General features: G+C 38.1%; 1 protein-coding gene across 4 annotated transcripts in view, besides 1 other annotated feature; it reads right to left on the reverse strand.

Annotated features, from left to right (window-relative positions):
• Window positions 7755-22429, reverse strand: part of SHC4 (SHC adaptor protein 4) — a 140179-nt gene continuing 125504 nt past the window's right edge. For all 4 annotated transcript variants that reach the window (NM_203349.4, XM_005254375.4, XM_047432493.1 and 1 more), the window contains 2 exons: window positions 18783-19036; window positions 7755-10140 (listed from right to left, as the gene is read on the reverse strand). In NM_203349.4, the coding sequence (NP_976224.3) occupies window positions 9985-10140; window positions 18783-19036 (410 nt within the window). In that variant the 3' untranslated portion in view covers window positions 7755-9984. The remainder of the gene's footprint in view (window positions 10141-18782; window positions 19037-22429) is intronic.
• Window positions 16752-16952: a silencer, noted in NCBI's record as "peak2329 fragment used in MPRA reporter construct". NCBI's record gives its function as "represses an SCP1 promoter by STARR-seq MPRAs in K562 erythroleukemia cells {active_cell/tissue: K562}" and the evidence as "EXISTENCE:reporter gene assay evidence [ECO:0000049][PMID:32103011]".

Consider the following 22429-nt stretch of genomic DNA (forward strand, 5'->3'; position numbering starts at 1 on the left):
GCCCGGCAGATCACCTGAGGTCAGGAGTTTGAGACCAACCCAGGCAACATGGCGAAACCCCGTCTCTACCAAAAATATAAAAATTAGCAAGGCGTGGTGGCACATGCCTGTAGTCCCAGCTACTTGGGAGACTGAGGGAGGAGAATCACTTGAACCTGGGAGGCGGAGGCTGCAGTGAGCTGAGGTCAGCCACTGCACTCCAGCCTGGGCAACAGAGCGAGAGTCTGTCTCAAAAAACTAAATAAATAAATAAAATAATAGACATTTAGAGGTTCGAGTTCTTATTACTAAAACAATCAACTTGTAATTCCTCTGAAATTTGCTTATACTTTATGAAAATATGCTGGCTATGAATTTTTTCTGCTTAAATAACATATTTATCAAGGCAAGTGTGAAAAATTACTTGTTTTTTGAAAAATAGGGCAGTATTTAGGAATATAAAATCATATGAATGAGATCATACTCCTCTCTTAAAAGTAAGTAAATAGGCCGGGCACGGTAGCTCATGCCTGTAATCCCAGCACTTTGGGAGCCCGAGGACGGTGGAACACAAGGTCAGGCGATCGAGACCATCCTGGCTAATGCGGTGAAACCCTGTCTCTACTAAAAATACAAAAAATAAAAATAAAAATAAATTAGCCGGGCGTGGTGGCAGGCACCTGTAGTCCCAGCTACTCGGGAGGCTGTGGCAAGAGAATGGCGTGAACCTGGGAGGCGAAGCTAGCAGTGAGCAAAGATCGTGCCACTGCACTCCAGCCTGGGCGACAGAGCGAGACTCTGTCTCAAAAAAAAAAAAGTAAGTAAGTAAATAATTCCTATTGTTCCTCTCCAGTTCTCTGTTGTCACCAAGTTCTTTTCTCCCTGCCCAAGAAAGAGATGGGCTGGATGAAAGTTAGGTCTTTTGCTACTTTGGTCAAAAGAGTGTAAGCACCAATGGCTTGGATTTCATGTTTAGGCTTTTTAATCACAGACTTTTAATCACCACAGGCTCTTAATCAGAAACCAGTAAAAGCTGTCAGAAGTGATATTGACCATTTTTAAAGATCCAAAGCTGCAATAATTATATTTGAATGTGGAATTAAGACCCACTCAAATGGCAAGAGATGCTCAGGCCATTCCATTTTTGTTTCTTAAAACATTCAGCAGATTAAAAAAGAAAGATGTACCAAAGCAAGATTATAAAATTGGTGTATATTTTAAATGCTTACATAGTGTGTTCAATCCATATTGACAAAATACAGCATAATATAATGATGCCATTCATAAGAAAATGTATAATTTATTAACCTTTATAAATTTGTATGCATTCATATTTATTAAAAATTTTAATGCATTTGAATACTTAGACTAGTCCAGTAATGGAATACATGTTGAAAGTTATTTGATCTGAGGTTGGATTCCCAGAAGAAAAGTCATACAGATGATTTTTTAAGGGCTTCCAGAAGAAACCAGTAAGGAAGTGAAGAAAAGGGTAAAGCTAGGAGAAGAGGCCACGTAAGGGTATGATTTCAGAAGTACCAGCCCCCACCCTGATCCTGAACTCTGGAATGTAACAGATGCGAAGGAACTGAGCTTTTGCACTCTTGTACGAGTGATGGTGCGAGGTGTAAACTCACAGGCCGTTCTGGTTCTTGGTGACCCAAAGCAGCTTCACTAGCCTGCATCTGTTCTCAGAATGAACAGTGACACAGAAGCAAAACACACAGAAGCCAAGGATGGGGTAGACAGAAGTGCTTTGAGGGACTCCAGGGGGTCTGGACAAAGCACTGGCTATATCTCCTACAACATCCTTGTTTGCCATCCTTTGATCTTATCAGCGTATCTCTGGAAATAATATCAGATATTTACATTTGAGGCCCTTCAAGAATGTAACCTCATGCAGCTCCTCCAATTGACCCTCCTAGTCCTAGCATGATGGGACCCAGGACTACCAAGATGATCTTATCACCATATTCTGTGGATATACTATATTCAGTGGAGCTGCCAAGTGTTAAAGTAGAAATTTGCCTAAAGTCTCTTGATATATCTAGGTTTTACCCCTAAACTTTATTAAACTTTTTTATTTTGGGAAAATTATAGACTCACATGGAAGAAATGAGATCTCCTATAAGCTTTACCCAGTTTCCACCAATAATATCTTACAAAACTATACTACAACATCATAACCAGGATATCCATATTAATACAGTCAAGATACAAAACAATTCTGCCACCAAAAGGATCCCTCATGTTGTCCTTTTATAATTGTACCCACTTCCCTCCCACCTACTAACTCCCTCCTTAACCCCTGTCTTAGTCCACTGGGGCTGCTATAACAAAGTACCATAAACTGAATGGCTTATAAACAACAGCAATTTATTTCTTCTAGTTCTGGAGAGTAGGAAGTTCAAGATCGAGGCACCAGCAGATTTGGTGTCTGATGGGGGCCCATTTATTGGCTCATAGAAGGCACCTTCTTACTGCGTCCTCACATGACGGAAATGCTAAGGGAGCTCTCTGAGGCCTCTTTTATAGGGGCACTAATTTAATTACTTTACAAAGGCTCCACCTTCTAATATGATCACATTGATGATTAGGTTTCAGCATATGAATCTTAGGGGGATACAAACATTCAGACCATAGCAACCCCAATCTGTTCTTTATTTCTATAATTTTATTGTTTCCAAAATGTTTATGTGTGTGTGTGTGTATATATATATATATATATGTATAAAATAAAACCTTTGGGGACTGGCATTTTTCACTCTTCTAATTCTCTGGAGATTCATCCAAGTTGTTGCGTCTCTCAATGCTTCTTCCTTTTTAGTGATGAATAGTGTTCCATGGTACGGATACACCACAGTTTGTTTAATCATTCACCCATGGAAGGATCTGGGTTGTCTCCAGTTTTTGGTTATTATGAACAAAGCTGTTATGAACATTCCTGTACAAGTTTTAGTGTGAACATAGGGATTCATTTTTTTTTGTGATCAATACCCAGGAGTGCAGTTGCTGGTTAACGTTAGTTGCACGTGCAGTTTTTTAATAAACTGCCAGACTTTTCCAGAGTGGCTGTACTATTTCATGTCCCTACCAGGATTGTACGTGTGATCTACTTTCTCTTCTCATGGTTGGCATTTGGTAGTGTTGATATTTTCCATTTTACCCATTCTGATAGGTGTGTGGTGATATCTCATTATGGTTTTAATTTCCTTACTGGCAAATGATATCAAACATATTTTTATGTGCTTATTTGCCACCTGTATACCTTCTTCAGTGAAATCTGTGTTCATAAATTTTGCCCACTTTCTATTGTCTTTTTTCTTTTTTTTTTTTTTGAGACGAAGTGTTGCTCTGTTGCCCAAGCTGGAGTGCAGTGGTGTGATCTCGGCTCACTGCAACCTCTGCCTCCTGGGTTCAAGCGATTCTGCTGCCTCAGCCTCCAGAGTAGCTGGAATTACAGGCATGCACCACCATGCCTGGCTAATTTTTGTATTTTTAGTAGAGACAGGGTTTCACCATGTTGGCCAGGCTGGTCTTGAACTCCTGACCTCAAATTATCCACCCGCCTCGGCCTCCCAAAGTGTTGGGTTCACAGGCTGAGCCACTGTGCCCAGCCTCTGTTGTATTTTTTCTAACTGTTGAGTTTTGAGAGTTTTTAACTACATTCTAGATTTTTGTTCTTTGTCAGATATGTGGTTTGCAAATATTTTCTCTCAGTCTATGGTTTGTCCTTCATCGTCTCAACAGAGTTTTACACACAGCAAAAATCTGTAATTTTTTTTTTTTTGAGACAGAGTCTTGCTCTTTTGCTGAGGCTGGAGTGCAGTGGCATGATCTTGGCTCACTGCAACCTCTGCCTCCCAGGTTCAAGTGATTCTCATGCCTCAGCCTCCCAAGTAGCTGGGATTACAGGCACACACCCATGCCTGGCTAATTTTTTATATTTTTAGTAGAGATGGGTTTCGCCATGTTGCCCAGGCTGGTCTCCAACTCCTGAGCTCAGGCAATCAGCCCACCTCAGCCTCCTAAAGTGCTAGGATTAGGCATGAGCCACCGTGCCAGGCCAAAAATCTGTAATTTTGATGAAGTCCACTGTACTAGTGTTTCCTTTTACGGATCATGTTAAGTCTAATAAGTTTTTGCATAGTCCTATATCCTGAAGATTTTCTTTTAGGTTTTTTCCTAAAAGTGTTATAGTTTTACATCTTACATTGAAGTCCACAATCTACTTAAGGTTTGTGTAAAGTGTGAGGTTCATTTTGCCGAAAGATACTCAAGTATTCCAGCACTGTGTTAGTCAGGGTTCTCTAAAGAGACAGAACTAATAGGATATGTGTATACATGAAGGGGAGTTTATTAAGGAGAATTGACTCACACAATCACAAGGTGAAGTACCATGATAGGCTGTCTGCAAGCTGAGGAGCAAGGAAGCCAGTCCACGTCCCAAAATCTCAAAGGTAGGGAAGCTGACAGTGCAGCCTTCAGTCTGTGGCCGAAGGCCCACGAGCCCCTGGCAAACTACTGGTGTAAGTCCAAAAGTCCAAAAGCTGAAGAACATGGAGTCTGGTGTTCGAGGGCAGGAAGCATCCAGCATGGGAGAAAAGATGAAGGCCAGAAAACTCAACAAGTCAAGTTCTTCCACCTTCTTCTGTCTGCTTTATTCTAGCTGCCTGGCAGTTGATTAAATGGTGCCCACCCAGATTGAGGGTGGGTCTGCCTCTCCCTGTCCACTGATTAAAATATTAATCTCCTTTGGCAACACTCTCACAGACACACCCAAGAACGATAGTTTTCATCCTTCAATCCAATCAAGTTGACACTCAGTATTAACCATCACAAGCGCCATTTGTTGAAATGACCAGCCTTTATCTATTGAGTTGCTTTGCATCTTTGTCAAAAATCAGTTGGACATATTTGAGTGGTCTGTTTCTGGGTTCTCCATCTTGTTCCATTGGCCTATGTATCTATTCCTCCACCAACATCAATACAGTCTTTAAAATGATATAATAAGTCTTAAAATCAGGTAAGATGACTCCTCCCACCTTGTTCTTTTTAAAAATTGTTTTAGCTATTCTAGTTCCTCTGCCTTTCCACATACATTTTAGAATAATCTTGTCTATATCTACAAAAATCTTGCTGAAAGTTTGACAGGAATTGCATGAAGTCTGTGTACCAATTTGGGGAGAGTTGACATCTTTCTTATGTTGAGGTTTGTAATGCATGAACACAGTATGCCTCTCCATTTATTAGATCTTTGATTTCCTTCATCAGCATTCTGTCATTTGCAGTGTGCATCTTGTACGTATTTTGTTAGGTTTACATGCATGTCCTTTTTAGCAGCTGTAAATAGTATTGCATTTTAAATTTTGTGTCTATATGTTCATTGTTAATATATAGAAATGCAATTTAATTTTGTATGTTTATCTTGTATCCTCTAAGCTTTGCTAAACTTAGTTCTAGGAGGGATTTTTTTGGTCATTTTCTGGATTTGGGGATTTTGAGGGTTTTTGTAGATCCTTGGAATTTTTTGCACATAAACAATCATGTTATCTGCAAATAGGGACAGTTTTATTTCTTCTTTTCTGATCTTTAAATAAAATACCTTTTATTTCCTTTTCCTGTCTTATTGCACTCTCTAGAACTTCCAGTAGTATATTGACAAGAATAGTGGTAATAGATGTCATTGTCTTGCTCCTCATTTTAGGGGGAAATGACTCAGGCCATGACTTTAAGTATAATGTTAGTTAGCTGTAGGTTCTTTGTAGATTTTTTTTTTAAGACATGGTCTCACTTTATTGTCCAGGCTGGAGTGCCAGGGCACAGCTATGGCTCACTGCAGCCTTAGCCTCCCAGGCTCAAGTGATCTTCCCATGTCTGCCTTCAGAGTAGCTGGGACTACAGGTGCACATCACCACACCCAGCTAATATTTTAAAAATTTTCTGCAGAGATGGGGTTTTGCCATGCTGCCCAGGATGGTCTCAAACTCCTGAGCTCAAGCGACTGCCTGCCTTGGCCTCCCAAACTGTTGGGATTACGGGTGTGAGCCACCAAGTGTGGCCTCTGTAGTTGGTGTTTATTTATTTTTAGTTTACTAAGAATTTTTATCATAAATTGATGTTGAATTGTATCAAATGCATTTTCTGCATCAATTGATATCATGTGATTTTTCTTCTTTAGCTTCTTAATATAGTGGATTACAGTGATTGATTTTCAAACATTGAACCAGCCTTGTATTCCTGGAATTAACCTTACTTAGTCATATTATGGTGCATAATTCTTTTTATATATTGGGGAATAATCCTTGCTAATATTTTGTTAATGATTTTTGATCATATTCACAGAGATTTCATCAGTAGTTTTCTTTTTTTTTGCTGTTTTTGTCTGGTTTTGATGTCAGAGTAATTTTACCTTCAAAATATGAATTGAGAAGTATTCCCTTCTCTTCCATTTTCTGGAAGCAATTGTATAGCATTAATGTTATTTCTTCAAATGATAGAATTCTCCAATGAAACATCTGAGCCTGGAATTTCTTTGGGGGAGGTAATTGTGAATTCAGTTTTCATAATAGTTATAAGGTTATTCAAATGATCAATTTCATATTGGCTAAATTGTGGTAGTTTGTACTTTTTGAGGAACTGGTCTATTTCATCCAAGTTGTTGTCAAATTTATATGTGTAGAACTGTGTGTTGCATTCCCCTATTATTCTTTTGATGTTTTCAGAGTCTGTAGTGATAAATTCTCTTTCATTCACAGACTAAAACCGTTTGTCCCATTAGTAAGACTATGGCAAACTACAGACAATTCATTTTTAACACTAATATGTCGATACTTAAATATTTTCCACAGATGCAGATGGTATATTTCACATGTGTTTGACATAGTGATTTCATATTATAATTTTTGTCGGTCTATAATTCCAATCATAAAAGGTAACAGGGTCAGGTTCATTACTTTTCCATATATAATTACAAGTAATAAAATGGCAAAATTAGTAGAAGGAATTGCAAGAAACATGAAGGTGGGATTAAAAGTATCTCTGTAAGATTGAAATGCATTTGAAGTTGTTCTTGAGCAAAATAACCAATGCTTCAAAATATAGCTTGAGTTTTAATAATAGTAACAAGTTGACATTTTTGCTGTAATTCATTTATGGTTACCTGAGAATCTGGACTTATTTCTCTGCAAATTAGCTTTGCCTTACTGGCTAACCCAAAGCCTCTCTAATGCTTTTAGAAGCTTGACTCTCTTCAAAGTCCTCTGTGCTAGATGTACTCCATTTATTTGCCCTTCCAGATCTCCCCCTCTAGTCTTTTCCATCCTCCTCTGTTCCCAGGAGGCTGACCTCCAGAACTGCATCAAGGAGCTCCCTTGCTCTCTGTCTTCAAGTTACTTGGGCCACTGGAGAATCCCAGCAGGAGACAGATAGGGGGAGCAGAAAAACGTTGGGTTATGAATGCCCCTCACTGCCTCTTAGTTGAGTCAGCAGGGCTGATTGCATTCCTCCACTACAGGCCACAGCTCCTAAAAGGCAGCCCTTGCACACAGCTCCCTCTCCAGATTCTGTTAGCTGTTCTTTCCCTTTCTCCCTTAATTGGCCCCAAGGCACTGCATTCTCCCTCCTGATTTCCCTAAACTCTGCCCACACCTTTGTAAATAGTCCCTTTAATAAACTCACCTTGAATTATCCAGTTTGATTGAGCCAATGTGTTTCCCTGATACATTTTACAAATGACAGTTTCCAAATCCCAAACATCAGACATATTCTGTCAATTGTCACAAAGCAATAATCATTTATTTTTTAAAGTCGTTTACAGGTATTTATAGGCAAATGGATTTCCACTTTAAGACAGATAAAGAATGTGAGATTAAAATAGCATGCAGACATTCCTTTTATTGTTTCCTTTTGCTTTAACTGTGTCTGTGGTATTTTTAAGTGCTGTATTTAACTACTATACTATTACAGTCAAATACTGATTATCCATGTGTACTGCTGACACCATTTACAGTCATTGCATCTATTTGTATCAGGAACTCTTGCTACCAAGTTAATACTCTGCTCAGCTAGAGTGAGACCACAGCCCTGCTCTGTCTCTGATAAAAGTGGTTAGACTACCCATACATTTCTACTGTCTATACTCATGCTGATCCCCTTTTTAAGGACAAACGATCAAGACCTAAGGTATATGGAAAACTGGTGAAAAATACATTAATTCTAGTTGTGTAAGAGGAAACAAATCCATCTAAAAAATTAATGGCAGTAGAAATAAAAATCATAAGCCTTTACAGTAAAATATTAGAGTGCAGTATGCTTGGTTTCTAATGATTTCTATCCAAAAGAAGTTTTATTTAAAACTTAGCAAATATATCACAATCACAAAGACTAAGTTGTATCTACATAGCCAAAATGAAATGGAGTCAAGGCAATATCCAGATAACTCAAGATTAAAAAAAAAAACAAAAAACATTTTTCTTGGAAAGGCAAGAAAAGGACATAAGTAGTTTTCTGCTACTCAAACCAAATCCACTTTTATCATCATTCCCTATATTCCAAAGTTTCAGTATTTTAGACTGAATGGTTTGGAGTCTAAACTATGTGAATGTTGATCTCAGGTGTGCCATTCATTCTGTGAGTATGGACACAGACTATAGAAGAAAAGCTTAATTTTTTACCTTAACTATACAGACTGGTTATCAATAACGACCTCTAACAAATGAAAAACTTGCTTTTTAGAGACTCATACTATAAGTTAGGACTGAAGTAGTCCTCCAAATTCACCTAGCCCATTTAGCTCATTTTATTGCCAAGGAAACTGGAACCCAAACAGATTCAGCAACTTGCTGAAGGTCACACTGGTAAGACTCAGCGTAATGCTTTTCTGTACACCATGCTTAATCACTCTGTTAGTTTACCAGTTGGTCTACATGTGGAAAATCTTTCCAAGTGCTTCATTCAATATGTTTTTTTTTCCTTCTGCATTTTGTCTGATCATATCTATACGAGGTGCTAAGGATATATGTAGGTGAGAAACTATGATTCAGTGTCAGCCAATCAAGAAGAAATTTTACTATAATTTCAAATAGATTCTGTACTTTTACTAAGAATGAAACCAATTTGAATAGTAAATATGAAGAATACTGGTTTTGTTTGCCCTCTTTTAAATCCATGCACTCATGAGGTTTTTTTTGTTTTTTTTGTTTTTTGTTTTTTGTCTTTTTAGCAGGAAGAGGGGGAGAATATAATGAAATCAGAAATGACTGATAGATTTGGCTTCTTCAGCTTGTCACATGCTGTATTTAGACAGTCTGAATAGCAAACACTGAGAAATGCTAGGCCAGAGGATTTGGGCCCCAATCCTTTTAACCAGCAAATGGGACAGTCCAATGAAACAGACAGCCATGTTAGTGGCTTTTGATTTGATTCCACTGACATACACACAGTTCGAATTCAATGTCATATTTATTTTAACATTGCAGTGAAAAATGCTGCTAAACAGAAAATGTAATAAAGTCAATAAGGCTCAAGAAAATTGCTTATTTTTTGTAGCAAGAAAAGCTTTTTTTTTTGGCAAATGGTTCTATAGTCATAGAACATGAAGATACTTAGAATTAATCTCCCAATATGAAAATGTCCCCCAAATTATCAAGTTGAAAGGCACATACCACTGCCCCAGCAGTTCATTCAAGTTGTCGTTAGCATGTGAAATTTTAGTTGTGCTTTTAGCTTGTTATCAATGCAATATGGCCTTAAAAAGTGACATCCGTGCATACATATAATTTCTTTTAAAATGACCAACCCTCTTCCTCTTTTCTGATTTTCATTTCTGAAGACTAATTTTTGTTAGTTCTTCATTTTATAGAGGACCTGGTCCATGATGGTCTTGGAAAGATGCACTTCACAGTTTGTGCTCTATTTTATCTACAAACAAAGTTTAAATTATCTTTGTGTCCTAATACAAAATGGGGTTTCTTGAAATATCAGTGTGATGGTGCTTCAATACTGTCATTTGTTGGAATGCAAAAGTGCTGGATTATTATCTTTTCTCACTGGTTGTTTAAGGCTTACTTCGCTTCCAGAGGAGATGATTGGCAAACTGTTATCCATATGGTATCTGATAAGGTGGCCGACATTATCAAATACATGATCCTTGGTCCTCACCTTGAAAAAGAAGTACAAATATATTTAGGTTAAATTATAGTAGTTCTCCTGAAAGATATAAATAATAAGGGGGAAAATGCCAGATATATCCCTAAAGTAGATACTTTGCTGAAAAAAGAAAAGGTACTTTTTTTTTTTTTTTTGAGACAGAGTGTCACTCTGTGGCCCAGGTTAGAGTGTAGTGGCACGATCTCGACTCACTGCAACCTCCACCTCCTGGGTTCACGCAATTCTAGTGCTTCAGCCCGAGTAACTGGGACTACAGGCACGTGCCACCATGCCTGGCTAATTTTTTTTATTTTAGTAGAGATGGCGTTTCACCGTGTTGCCCAGGCTAGTCTCAAACTCCTGAGCGCCAATGCCCACCTTGGCTTCCCAAAGGGCTAGGAGAAAAGGTGCTTTTAAACTCTGTAGTCCCTAGTCAACAATTTTCTCATTCCTCATTACCATTTTAAAGCAACCATTCCCATAAGTTAGGAAAATGGTAGGCACTTGTCACCCAATCCAAATTTGCAATCAGCCTCTTTGCAGTATTATTGTTTGGTATATTCTATGTCACTATCTCTATAACTATTTAACTGGTTTGTATACAAGCATGAATCCCAGGATTGTAATTATCTTCTGTTAACCAGAGTGCTTCCATATCACCTTGTCTCTGTCAGAAGCAGGCCTTTCTGGAGAAGTCCTACCTCCTATCTCTCTTTGGAGGCTCAGCATTCCTGTCTTCTCCAAGAAGCCTCCTCAGACCTTTCTAATAGGCATTCATGTGTCCTTCCCACAGACTTCATAGTAGCTGATTCACAGATATTTGTTGCATGGAACTTACTGTCGGCATGCCAAAGAAATTCAATTTTCTTATGGCATGCCTTCTATGGAATTCCCTTCCTAGTACCCTATGCATAGACAGAAGCTGTACATTACTATCCATTGTGGCTCTACCAGCTTGGTGGCCTGGTTATACAAGTGCTCCTGTTTGGAGGGTGGCTAGGAACCATCCAGGAAAGGGGAAGGCATGCAACAAGGCAGCACCTCGTTATGTATTTCTGCCAGCTCTCCTACAAGGGATTCTTGGAGTTCTGTCTAGATGTTGGTTTTTGCCGTATTAAAATCATGCATAATTACTGGAATAATTAATATAATTTGAATATGGACTATGACTTAGATAGTATTGTACAAATGTTAAGTTTCCTGATTTTGATCTCTGTACTATGGCTATGGAAGAGAATATCTCTGTTCTTAGGAAATACACATTCAAGGATTTACAGAAGAGGACACAATGGCACCAATTTGCTCTCAAATGGCTCCAAACCTCAAAAAGGTTTTCAACTCCTCCATCTCATTCCCATCCCACACCAAATCAGCTGACCAATCCTTCCATTCTATGTTCTTAATGCCAAGTCACTCTGCCTTCTTCTTTGTATTTCTTCTGCCTCAGGCTGTCACTACTTTTTACCTAGAAGCCTCTAATTACTCTCTCTGTCCCTGGTCTTTCCCCTTCTCTTTAATCAATCCTGTATACAAGTGTGAAATTAATCTTTCAAGTACAGAGATTGTAAGCAGGCCACTCTGGCTGAATGCCCCGTATGCTTTAGTTTGCTAGGGGCTAGGATAGGGAGGGGAGGTTACGCACAGAGAGTTTCAACTATTTTGAATTAAAAATAAGGAGAGTTCCTATAAAACTCTGGTTTTATGACTTATTTGAAAAAAATAAAATCTGGTCCCACTGGGCCTCTGCTCTGCATGACAGCGTTTGGTTGGAGCTGAGTGGTGACTGCCCCCTTACACAGGGTATGTGCCTTTTTTAACACAGCCCACTGTACCTTATGCTCGCTCTATCCCCTGCCCAGCTTTATTCACTTACAGTACTGGCCTAGTCCTGCAGACACTTGTGTTTGTAACTTCACCCACACAAGATTTTTCACTGTGGTAAGAAACATATAACATGAGATCTGTTACATATGTATGTATGTGTGTGTGTGTGTGTGTGTGTATATATATATATATATATACATCTGTTATGTAACAGTTAATACTGTACTATACACTTAACAGATTTTTAAGTGTACAGTACAGTATTGTTAACTGTTAAGTACAACGTTATACAGCAGATCTCTGGAACTTTTTCATCTTGCATGACTGAAACTTTATACCCATCAAACAGCAACTACCCATTTCCTTGAGAACACTGTAGCATAGGACAGGATTTCCCTCTTTTCTATGGTTGTTCTATGGTGTTCCACTATATGGATATTATCATATTTCCTTTATCCATTTATTGTTTAGTGGATCTTAGTTTTCACCTCTTGACTATTGTGAATAATGCTGCAATAAACATGGGAGTGCAAACATCTTTTCAAGATCCTGCTTTCAGTTCTTTTGGATAATTACCCAGAAGTGAGGTTGCTAGATCATATGGTAGTTTTATTTTTAATTTTTCGAGAAACCTCCAAACTGTGTTCCATAGAGGCTGTACAATTTTACACACCCACCAATAGTGCACGAGGGCACCAATTCTTCATATCCTTGCGAACACCTGTTATTTTCTTCCTCTTTTTAAAAAAATAATGGCCATCTTAACAAGTGTGAGGTATTATCTCACTGTGGTTTTGATTTGCATTTTCCTGATGATTAATGATGTTGATTGAGCATGTTTTCATATACCCGTTGGTCATTTTTTGGTCTTTTTGGAGAAATCTCTATTCATTCAAGTCCTTTGCCTATGTTTTCATTGGTTGCTTTTATTTTTTTGCTATAGAGTTGTAGGCGTTCCTTATATATTTTGGATATTAACTCCTTATCAGATACATTGTTTGTAAATAGTTTCTCTCATTCTGTAGGTTGCCTTTTCACTAAGCTGATTGTTTTCTTTGCTGTGCAGAAGCTTTTTAGTTTAATGTAATGCCACTTCTCTAGTGTCCCTTTTGTTGCCTGTGGAAATACCAGTTTTCCTTCTGCCTCTAGTTTCATTCCACTGATACTTGTTATGATGTCAGCCTCTTAAATTTGTCAAGACTTGTCTTGTTATCTAACATAATCTATTCTGGAGAATGTTTTGTGTGCACTTGAGAAGAATATGTATTCTGTTGCTGTTGGATGGAATGTTCTGTATATGTATGTTAGATCCACTTGGTCCATAGTGTTGTTCAAGTTCTTTTTTTCCTCATTGATCTGTCTGGTGTTCTATCCATTATTGAAAGTGGAGCATTAAAATCCCCTACTATTATTGTTTTGCTGTCTATTTCCCCCTTTAGTTCTGTCAATGTTTGCTTCATATATTTGGGTACCCTGATGTGCATATATATTTATAATTATTATATCTTCCTGAAGAATTGATCCTTTTATCATTATATCATGTCCTTCTTTGTCTCTTTTGATATTTTGACTTAAAGTTTATTTTGTCCGATATAAGTATGGCCACTCCTGCCATTTTTTGGTTATCATTTTCATGGAATATCTTTTTCTAAACTTTCACTTTCAACCTACGTGTGTCCTTAAATCTAAAGTGAGTCCTTGCCAGGCGTGGTGGCTCACGCCTATAATCCCAACACTTTGGGAGGCCAAGCAGGTGGATTACCTGAGGTCAGGAGTTTGAGACCAGACTGGCGGACATGGTGAAACCTCGTCTCCACTAAAAATATATAAATTAGCTGGGCATGGTGGCGCACCCCTGTGGTCCCAGCTACTTGGGAGGCTGAGGCAGAAGAATCACTTGAACCCAGGAGGCGGAGGTTGTAGTGAGCTGAGATTGTGCCACTGCACTCCAGCCTGGGCAATAGAGCGAGACTCCGTCTCAAAAAAATAAATAAATAAAATAAAGTGAGTTTCTTATAGATAGCATGTAGTTGGAGCTTGTTTTTTTTTAATCAATTCAGCCACTCTATGCTTTTTGATTACAGAATTTAATATATTTACATTTAAAGTAGTTAATACTAGAGAAGAACTATTACCATTCTATTGTTTTCTGTCTTAAAGCTTTTTTTGGTCCTGTTTCTCCTTTCTTGCTGTCTTCCTTTGTGTTTCATTAATTTTTCATAGTGAATAGGCTTTAATTCCTTTATCATTTTGTTTTGTGTATCTTCTAGAAGTATTTTCTTTGTGATTACCATGGGGCTCGCATAAAACATAGCTATAACAATCTCTTTTAAACTGATAACACCTTAACTTCAATCACATACAAATACTCTACACTGTTATTTCTCCACACACAATTTTATGTTATTGATGTCACCAATTACATTTTTAAATTTTGTGTATTCATTAACATATTTTATAGTTACATAGTTATTGTTGCATAATAACATTTTGGTTAACAACAGACTGCATATACAATGGTGATCCCATAAGCTTATAATGAAGCTGAAAAATTCCTATTGCCTAATGCAATTGTCCTGAAGAATTGACTAATGAGTTGTTGGAACTGAAACAGGAAGGCATAGCTGAAGAGGAGGCAAAAGGAAAGGAAAGTGCAGGCAAAGAAAAAGAAGAAGAACCCCCCAAAAAATTAACAATAAAGAGTTTAGCAGAAGCTTTTTCAGACCTTAACAAGCTTCTTGAAAAGACTAAAAACATGGATCCCCAACACCAAAAGGTTTTCATTAATAGAAAAGAATGCTCATGTTGCATTATCTGCGTACGAGCAAATCTATGATGAAAAAAGAAACAAAGCAAGCAAACCGCCAAGGTCATATTTCTGAAAATAGTGACACTTTCTCAAGAGACTCAAGCAGGTCCTTTAGGAGATATTCTAGAATAAGGCATTGTTATCATAGGAGATGACAACTCCATGCAAGTTATTGCTCCTTAAAGACTGTGGAACAATATGTGGAGATAGAAGACAGTGATATTGATGATCCTGCCCCTGTCTAGTGCTAGCCTAATGTCTGTGTTTCTGTCTCTATTTTTAACAATAACAAAAAAGTTTAAAAGTAAAAAATAGAAATAAAAAATTTTAAAATAGGAAAAACCATATAGAATAAGGATATAAAGAAAGAAGATATTTTTGTACAGCTCTATAACCTATATTTTAAGCTAAGTGTTATTACAAAAAAGTCAAAAGATTAAAATAATTTAAATGTTTACAAAGTAAAAAAATTACAGTAAACTCAAGTTAATTTATTATTGAAGAAAGAAAATTAAAAAAAATAAACTTAGTGTGGTCTAAGTGCATAGTGTTTATAAAGTGTGCAGTAGTGTGCAGTAATGTCCTAGGTCTTTACATTCGCTCACCACTCACTCGCTGGCTCATCTGGAGCAATTTCCAGTCCTGCAAGCTTCATTCACAGTAAATGTTCTACATAGGTGTACCATTTCAAATCTTTTATATCCTATTTCACTGCACCTTTTCTATGTTTACATACACAAATATTTACCATTGTGTTACAATTGTCTACAGTATTCAGTACACTAACGTGCTGTATAGGTTTGCAACCTACAAGCAATAGGTTATACCATATAGCCTAGGTGTGTAGTAGGCTATACTATCTAGGTTTGTGTACATATATTCAAAAATGTTTGCACAATGAAAAAATCATCTAGCAATGTATTTCTCATAACATTTCCCCATTGTTAAGTGATATATGACTTATTTTTCACATTTTTGTCTTTTAACTTCTATAACCAGAATTAAAAGTTATTTACACACTGCCATTATAATATTACAGTATTCTGTGTTTTTCTATATATTTACCTTTACCAGCAAGCTTTGTACTTTCATATGCTTTCATGTTACTGTTTGGTATCCTTTTGTTTCAACTTGAAGGACTTTAGCATTTCTTGAAAGGCAGATCTAGTGCTAACAAACTCCTCATCTTTTGTTTATCTCAGAAAGTCTATATTTCTCTTTCATTTTTAAAGGATGGTTTTGGCCAGGAACGGTGGCTCACGCCTATAATCCCAGCACTTTGGGAGGCCAAGGCAGGTGGATAAACTGAGGTCTGGAGTTCAAGACCAGCCTGGCCAACATGGCAAAACCCTGTCTCTACTTAAAATACAAAAAATTAGCCAGGTGTGGTGGCGGGCACCTGTAATCCTAGCTACTTGGGAGGCTGAGGCAGGAGAATCACTTGAACCCAGGAGGCAGAGGTTGCAGTGAACCGAGATGGTGCCATTGTACTCCAGCCTGGGCGACAAGAGTGAAACGTGGTCTCAAAAGAAGAAGAAGAAAAAAAGAAAGGATGGTTTTGCCAGATGGAGTAGTCTTGGTTGGCAGTCTTTTTTCTTTTAGCATTTTGAATATATTGAACCCACTGATAGTCTTACGGTGGTTATGATAAATGTGCTGATAGTCTTATGGAGGCTCTCTGGCACATAATGAGTCTCTTCTCTTGCTGCTTTCAAAATTCTCTGTTTTTGACATTTTGATTATAATGTATCATGATGTGAATGTCTTAGGGTTCCTCATAGTTGGAGTCCATTGGTCTTCTTGAATCTGATGTTCATTCTCATCACTTACTTGGGAAGATTCAGACATTATTTCTTTAAATAAGCTTTCTGCCCCCTTTCCCTCTTCTTCTTCTCCTTCACTCTCTTGTTTTTGAACTCCAATAATGCATAAACTGGTCTGCTTGATGGTGTATCACAAATCCCTTAGGCTTTCTTCACTTTTTAAAAGTAATATTTTTGTTGTTGTTCCTTTTTCTGAAGAATTTCAAATGACCTCTCTTTGAGTTTGCTGGTTTTTTTCTTCTGCTTAATCAAGTCTGCTGCTGAACCCCTCTAGTGATCTTTTCAGTTCAGTTATTGTATTCTTCAGGTCCAAAATTTCTGTCTGCCTCTTTTTAATATTTTCTTTCTCTCTGTTGATATTCTGACTTTGTTCATGGATGGTATTATTGAGCTCATAGAGCATCTTTATTATACTTATTTTGAATTCTTTGTCAGTTAATTCATATGCCTCTGTTTCTTTAGGATCTGTTTCTAGATATTTATTTTGTTTGTTTGTTTGGGCCATGTTTCCCTGATTCTTTTTGAGTTTCATAACTTTGTGTTGGGATCTATGCATTTGAAAAACAGCCACCTCTCCCTTTCCTTACAAACTGGCTTCATACAAGGGAAGAATCACACCAACCAGCCCAAATAGAGATTCTGGGGGTCTCCAAAACCTTCTGTGGGGGGACGTGACTTTTCTGGGCCTGTGTGTTCAATTTTTCAATTACAGAGGTTTGCCAGTTTTTCAGGAACTTGTAATCTCTTGCTCCTTCTGATGTCTGTGGCACTGCAAGTTCTCTGGTTCTATAGCAGCAAGCCACCCCACTATCCCTTGTTGTCCATGGTCACAGGCATCCAAGGTATGCCAGCTTCCTTTCAGTGCCCCAAGTGGCAGGACAGATAACTGGTTTATCAGGTATCCCTCCAAAAAGCTGGAATTCTGGACACACTTCACTCCCCTCCCTCCCTTCTGAAGGAGAACCTTCAAGTTGTGTACTTTCTCCTATTTGTACTGAGGAGTGCCAGCTGCAGCAAGCTATCCTGTGCTCTTCTTTGTTCTCAGTGGCTCCTGGCATCCAAAATATGGCAGTACCATGAGCACTCCATGTGAAGTGAGACAGAAACCAGTCCCTCAGGCAACCCACTGAAAAGCCAGAACATGGCATGCAAGCTCTACTCTCCTCTTTCCCCCATTCCCCCAAGGGAGAGGTCATGAGACATGGAATTCCTTCCTGCCACTGAGCTATGCTGATTTGGGTAAGGAGATGATGCAGATAAAGTGAAATTGTTCTTCTTACCAGTTTTGACATGACTGTTTTCAGCTCTATGCTCACCTGAGGTACTGAAACTTTTGAAGTGAATTCTGTGGTTCTCATAAAGGTATTTTGGTCAATATAGAGTTGTTAATTCTGTGTTTCTTTTGGGGGAACAAGGGCTGGGACTTCCTATTCTGCCATCTTGCTGATGTCACCACTCACATGGGCTTTGATTGCATCATTTGTCTCAAAACTGCCAATGCCTCCCCACTGCCTGGCAAATTAGGCATTTCTACCCCATATTGATGGCTCTAACTTACCTTTCCCAAGATAATTTTCTGTCTACAGGCATTCTTTGCTACTGTCATTCATCTTCTATTGGCTTAATACCATTCTATTACTCTGTCTGCACCTATGGTTCCTTCTCTATACTCCAAATGTCCCCCTTTTGAAATCTTGCCTTCTTTCAAGGTTTGCTTTACATGATGGACCCTATAAGAAACCTTCTTAGTTTGCCTCAACCAGAATGACCTCTCTGTTCTGAGAAACACCATAATGCTTTGGTTGAACCATTCTTATCTCATTCAGCTTTATATTATAATTATTTAAGCACTTGTTTTATTAAATTATCAGCACTCTGAGAGCAAGGACTATGTATGTGATATTGAACAACAAACAGCTGCAAATTCCTTTATTTCTATATAGCAGGTATTCATTTAATTCATTGAATTGAATTGAAAAGGGCAGAAAGAGGCTGTCCTCTGCTTGATACTCCAGGGTGGCCTCCTACTCTAACCCCTCCACTACCCTCTAGTTAGCATGTCCTGCTCCAGCTGGAAGGTTCCAGAAAAAGCAAATACTTAGCCTTGAGCACTATTCAATACCAGGTTTTGGAAATCATTCAGGGTATGCTTAATAGAACAACATCCTGTGAAACCTCTAATGAGAAGTCAATGATACCTTGCCTTCAGGATCCACCAGGAGAAGATGTTTTGCTTGGCCTCCCTGTAGTCCACTCAGCACATATTGGCCAGGGGATGTTGCACTCTCTCGAACCAAAAAGTCCCCATCCTTTACCAAGAGGCTCTCTGCCGCCTTCCTGCTCAGCTTGCCATGATAGCATTCTTCGCTCCACAGCTGCTGCTTAATGTGTGGCAAAGAATGTGAGCTGGCAGGCTGGGCTGTGGCACCCGGCTGAACAGTTTCTGGTGCCTCTGAAGTCAGAACACAAAGAGAGACATCATCGAGTTACCTCTTCATCCATCCATTCATTCATTTATTCACTCAGTAAATATAACCTGAGGTCCTACTGTGTGCCAGCCATTGTTTAAATAATACTGCTTGGGGAACAAATGAGGTTTTTGTTTTCAGAACTCCCAACAGGCTTTAATTTAATGGTAGATCCAAACATTGCCTTTGGCTTCTGTTACCAGGGAAGCCTTGCCCAGGTGCAGGAGTTTTTCTTTCAGATGGGAAATGGAACAGACCCATGAGAACAGCTTTTATAACTGCAGAGAGAGGCTCTTTATGTCCTAGGGGTTGCATGTTAAAGAGAAAAAGGCTTATGCTGTACCTGGATTACAAATAATTTCTACAATGTTTCCAAACACTTTGAAAATAGCTATAATAACTTCAGGCCATCCCCACTTTTTAGCATTTAGCTCTTGTCCCACCTTTTTAAAACCAAATTATTAGTGTGTGTCTAGTCATTCTTCTGACCCAAAACTTCAAAACTTTGCTAAACCTCACAGCATTCCCACTAAAGGACTACTTTGTTGTTTGTGTCATTCACCTGCCTGGACAAAAACAGTTGATGAGGTAAAAGAAGACAAATCATCAGGGAGGAACAGCCCAAGGCAGCTCCCCAAGGCGCTGCTGAATAAGTGTTGTCCAGAGTTGAGAGCACTGGGGATGGGAAGGGACCTCCAGTTAGCAGTTTACAGTACTATCCACACTCATAATAGTGATAATAGTTACTGCGTAGTTCTCATTTATCAAGTGTGATAGAAACTGCTAAATGCTTTATATACATTATGTTGTTTAACTCTCAAAATTAGACAGCAAGGAAATGAATCTTTAGAAAGGGTGGCCAGACAGGATGGCTCATGCCTGTTATCCCAGCACTTTGGGAGGCCGAGGCAGGTGGATTACCTGAGCTCAGGAGTTCGAGACCAGCCTGGGAAACATGATGAAATCCTGTCTCTACAAAAAATCCAAAAAAAAAAAAAAAAAAAAAAAGCCAGGCATAGTGGCACGTGCCTGCAGTCCCAGCTACTTGGGGGGCTGAGACAAGAGAATCGCTTAAACCGGGGAGGCAGAGGTTGCAATGAGCCAAGATCGCGCCACTGCACTCCAGCCTGGGCGACAGTGAGACCCTGCCTCAAACAAACAAAAAGGAAGGTTAAGGGACTTAAATTTACACTGCTAATAGTTGTAGATCTGAAATTCGAAACAAGGTCATCTGACTCCAAAGCCTAGATTCTTAATTACTAAACTCTAAGGTCCTTGCCTTGGATGTGAAAATCTTTCTTTTAGTAGAATCTAGCCACTCTGCTTTAGTAGTACCCACAGAGGTCCCTAGCAGGTAGCAAGGCTAATCTTACTTGGGGTAGCCTTCAGCATCTCCAGAACTAATAATGTAAAATTCTTATGTCTGAAACCAGGTTCTTATGTCTGAAACTTGTATGTTTAATAAGGCAAATTTACCAGGAAAATAACCATAGAAACTAGACTTTGTTTCTTTTTTTTTGTTTTTTTTTAAACACAAAGCGTCTTTGAAATAGAAACCAGTCTTTATCTTTATAAACACAAAGAAGTGTTTATGTGTCCTTAGGTAAGGGTCTTGCAAATGAGAAATTATCTTGACTATGAGTTTGTATGACTACAATTTACACACGATCATCCCATGAAGTCACTGGTGTAGGCAACCAGTGTGCTGTAGTCGTAATTCAATTCTACTGTTAATACGTTATAGTTTTGTCCCTACTTGAGGGCTTCTTTCTGCACACAGTTATAATGAGTATTCACAAACAGATCTTTTAAAAAATATCATTAATCTAAATCTAATGGCTGGAAACACTCTCTTCTACAATCAAATCTTTCTATTGTTGCCAGAAATAGCCTGACAAAATGTATGCAGATTTGATGAATAATACTTGTAACTGGCCTTAGTGCTGCCTGCTTTCAGGCACAATGGATAACTTCTAATGAGTAGCCATGTGTGTGTTTGTGTGTGTGAAAAAGTGTGTGAGTGTGGGAGGAATGCATGCACGCAGTGTGTGGGTATACACGTCTTAATGCGTGATGGCTTTTGGTCTATTCTGAGATTATGGTGAAGAGCTTTTGGACAAAGACAAAACAATAGAAAAAGAGACATTATATCATCTTGAAAAGAGGCAACGGATCGTGGGCCAACCAGAGGAAATGGACAATGTTTCCCTAACAGTTTCCCAAATTAGCAGAAGGACAAGATACTCCGCTGGGAGATTTCAATCATCCAAACATTTGCTGAAAATCTGATTCTGCCAGAATAGATAACAATTTGTTTATTTTGCTTAATTTTAAAAGTTACACATACTAGCTTTTTAAAATCTAGGAAAGAGAAAAACAAATAAAATTAATCACCTATGGTCTCATCACTAAATAAAACCGCTCTTAACACTGTGGTACATTATCTATTATCTTGCTCCTTTTCTAATGCATAAGTTGACTTTGACAATAATAATTATAATCTAAATATGGTTATTTATATATAATTTATGTGTAATATTTAATAAATTGCTGAATTGATATAATCATATTTTCTGAGAAGAAGTAGTGGAGGTTAAGGAAGTAATAAGGAAGGCCAATCTAGATTTAATTGAAACCATAAAAAAGTGATAGGACTTATAGAAGATAGTAATCATATCATCTTGGAGTTCCTATTGGCACTTAAAGACATATTGTTCACAATCAGACCTTCAAGAAAGCACAGTATAGATATGGCTATCCACACCCAAATGGATCTAATGGGCAAAAACCTCTAAAAGGGAAAATACAGTTTAAGGAAGAGAAAAAAATCTAACACGCAAAATCTGGATTAAATAATTGAAAGTAATCTCAATGAGAAAGAAAGGATGAGACATTTAAAGAAACCAATATGAACTATAAAGATGGCACACTGATGAATCCCATTTTTTAAAAGCACCTGTATACAATTTTTATAGTATTAATTATTATTTTAGCAAAGCACTGGAAAAATTGATATGTCCATCAATAAGGGACTGACTACATAAATCATGATGCACTCATACAATAGAATACTATAGAGCAATTTAAAATAGTGAAGATTGTATGTTTATACAGACACATTTCTAAAAGAGAAGAGTAAAATAAGGAGGTATACAAGGGGATTATTATAACTGAGAGCTGAAACAAGAAAGCGGAGCGTTGTCTTATTTGACATCAGCTGAGAATGTGCACATTGGGTGATTGAAAATTTTTGTTGCTCCGTGCATGGCCACAAATGACGCAAAAGGACCATGAGTATTGATTTTGGAGTTACAACTAAATTTTAGCAAGTAAGCTAATTCTCAAATATGGAATCTGTGAATAATGATAATTGACTG

The sequence above is a fragment of the Homo sapiens genome, chromosome 15 (assembly GCF_000001405.40).
Source record: "Homo sapiens chromosome 15, GRCh38.p14 Primary Assembly".
Classification (NCBI taxonomy): domain Eukaryota; kingdom Metazoa; phylum Chordata; class Mammalia; order Primates; family Hominidae; genus Homo; species Homo sapiens.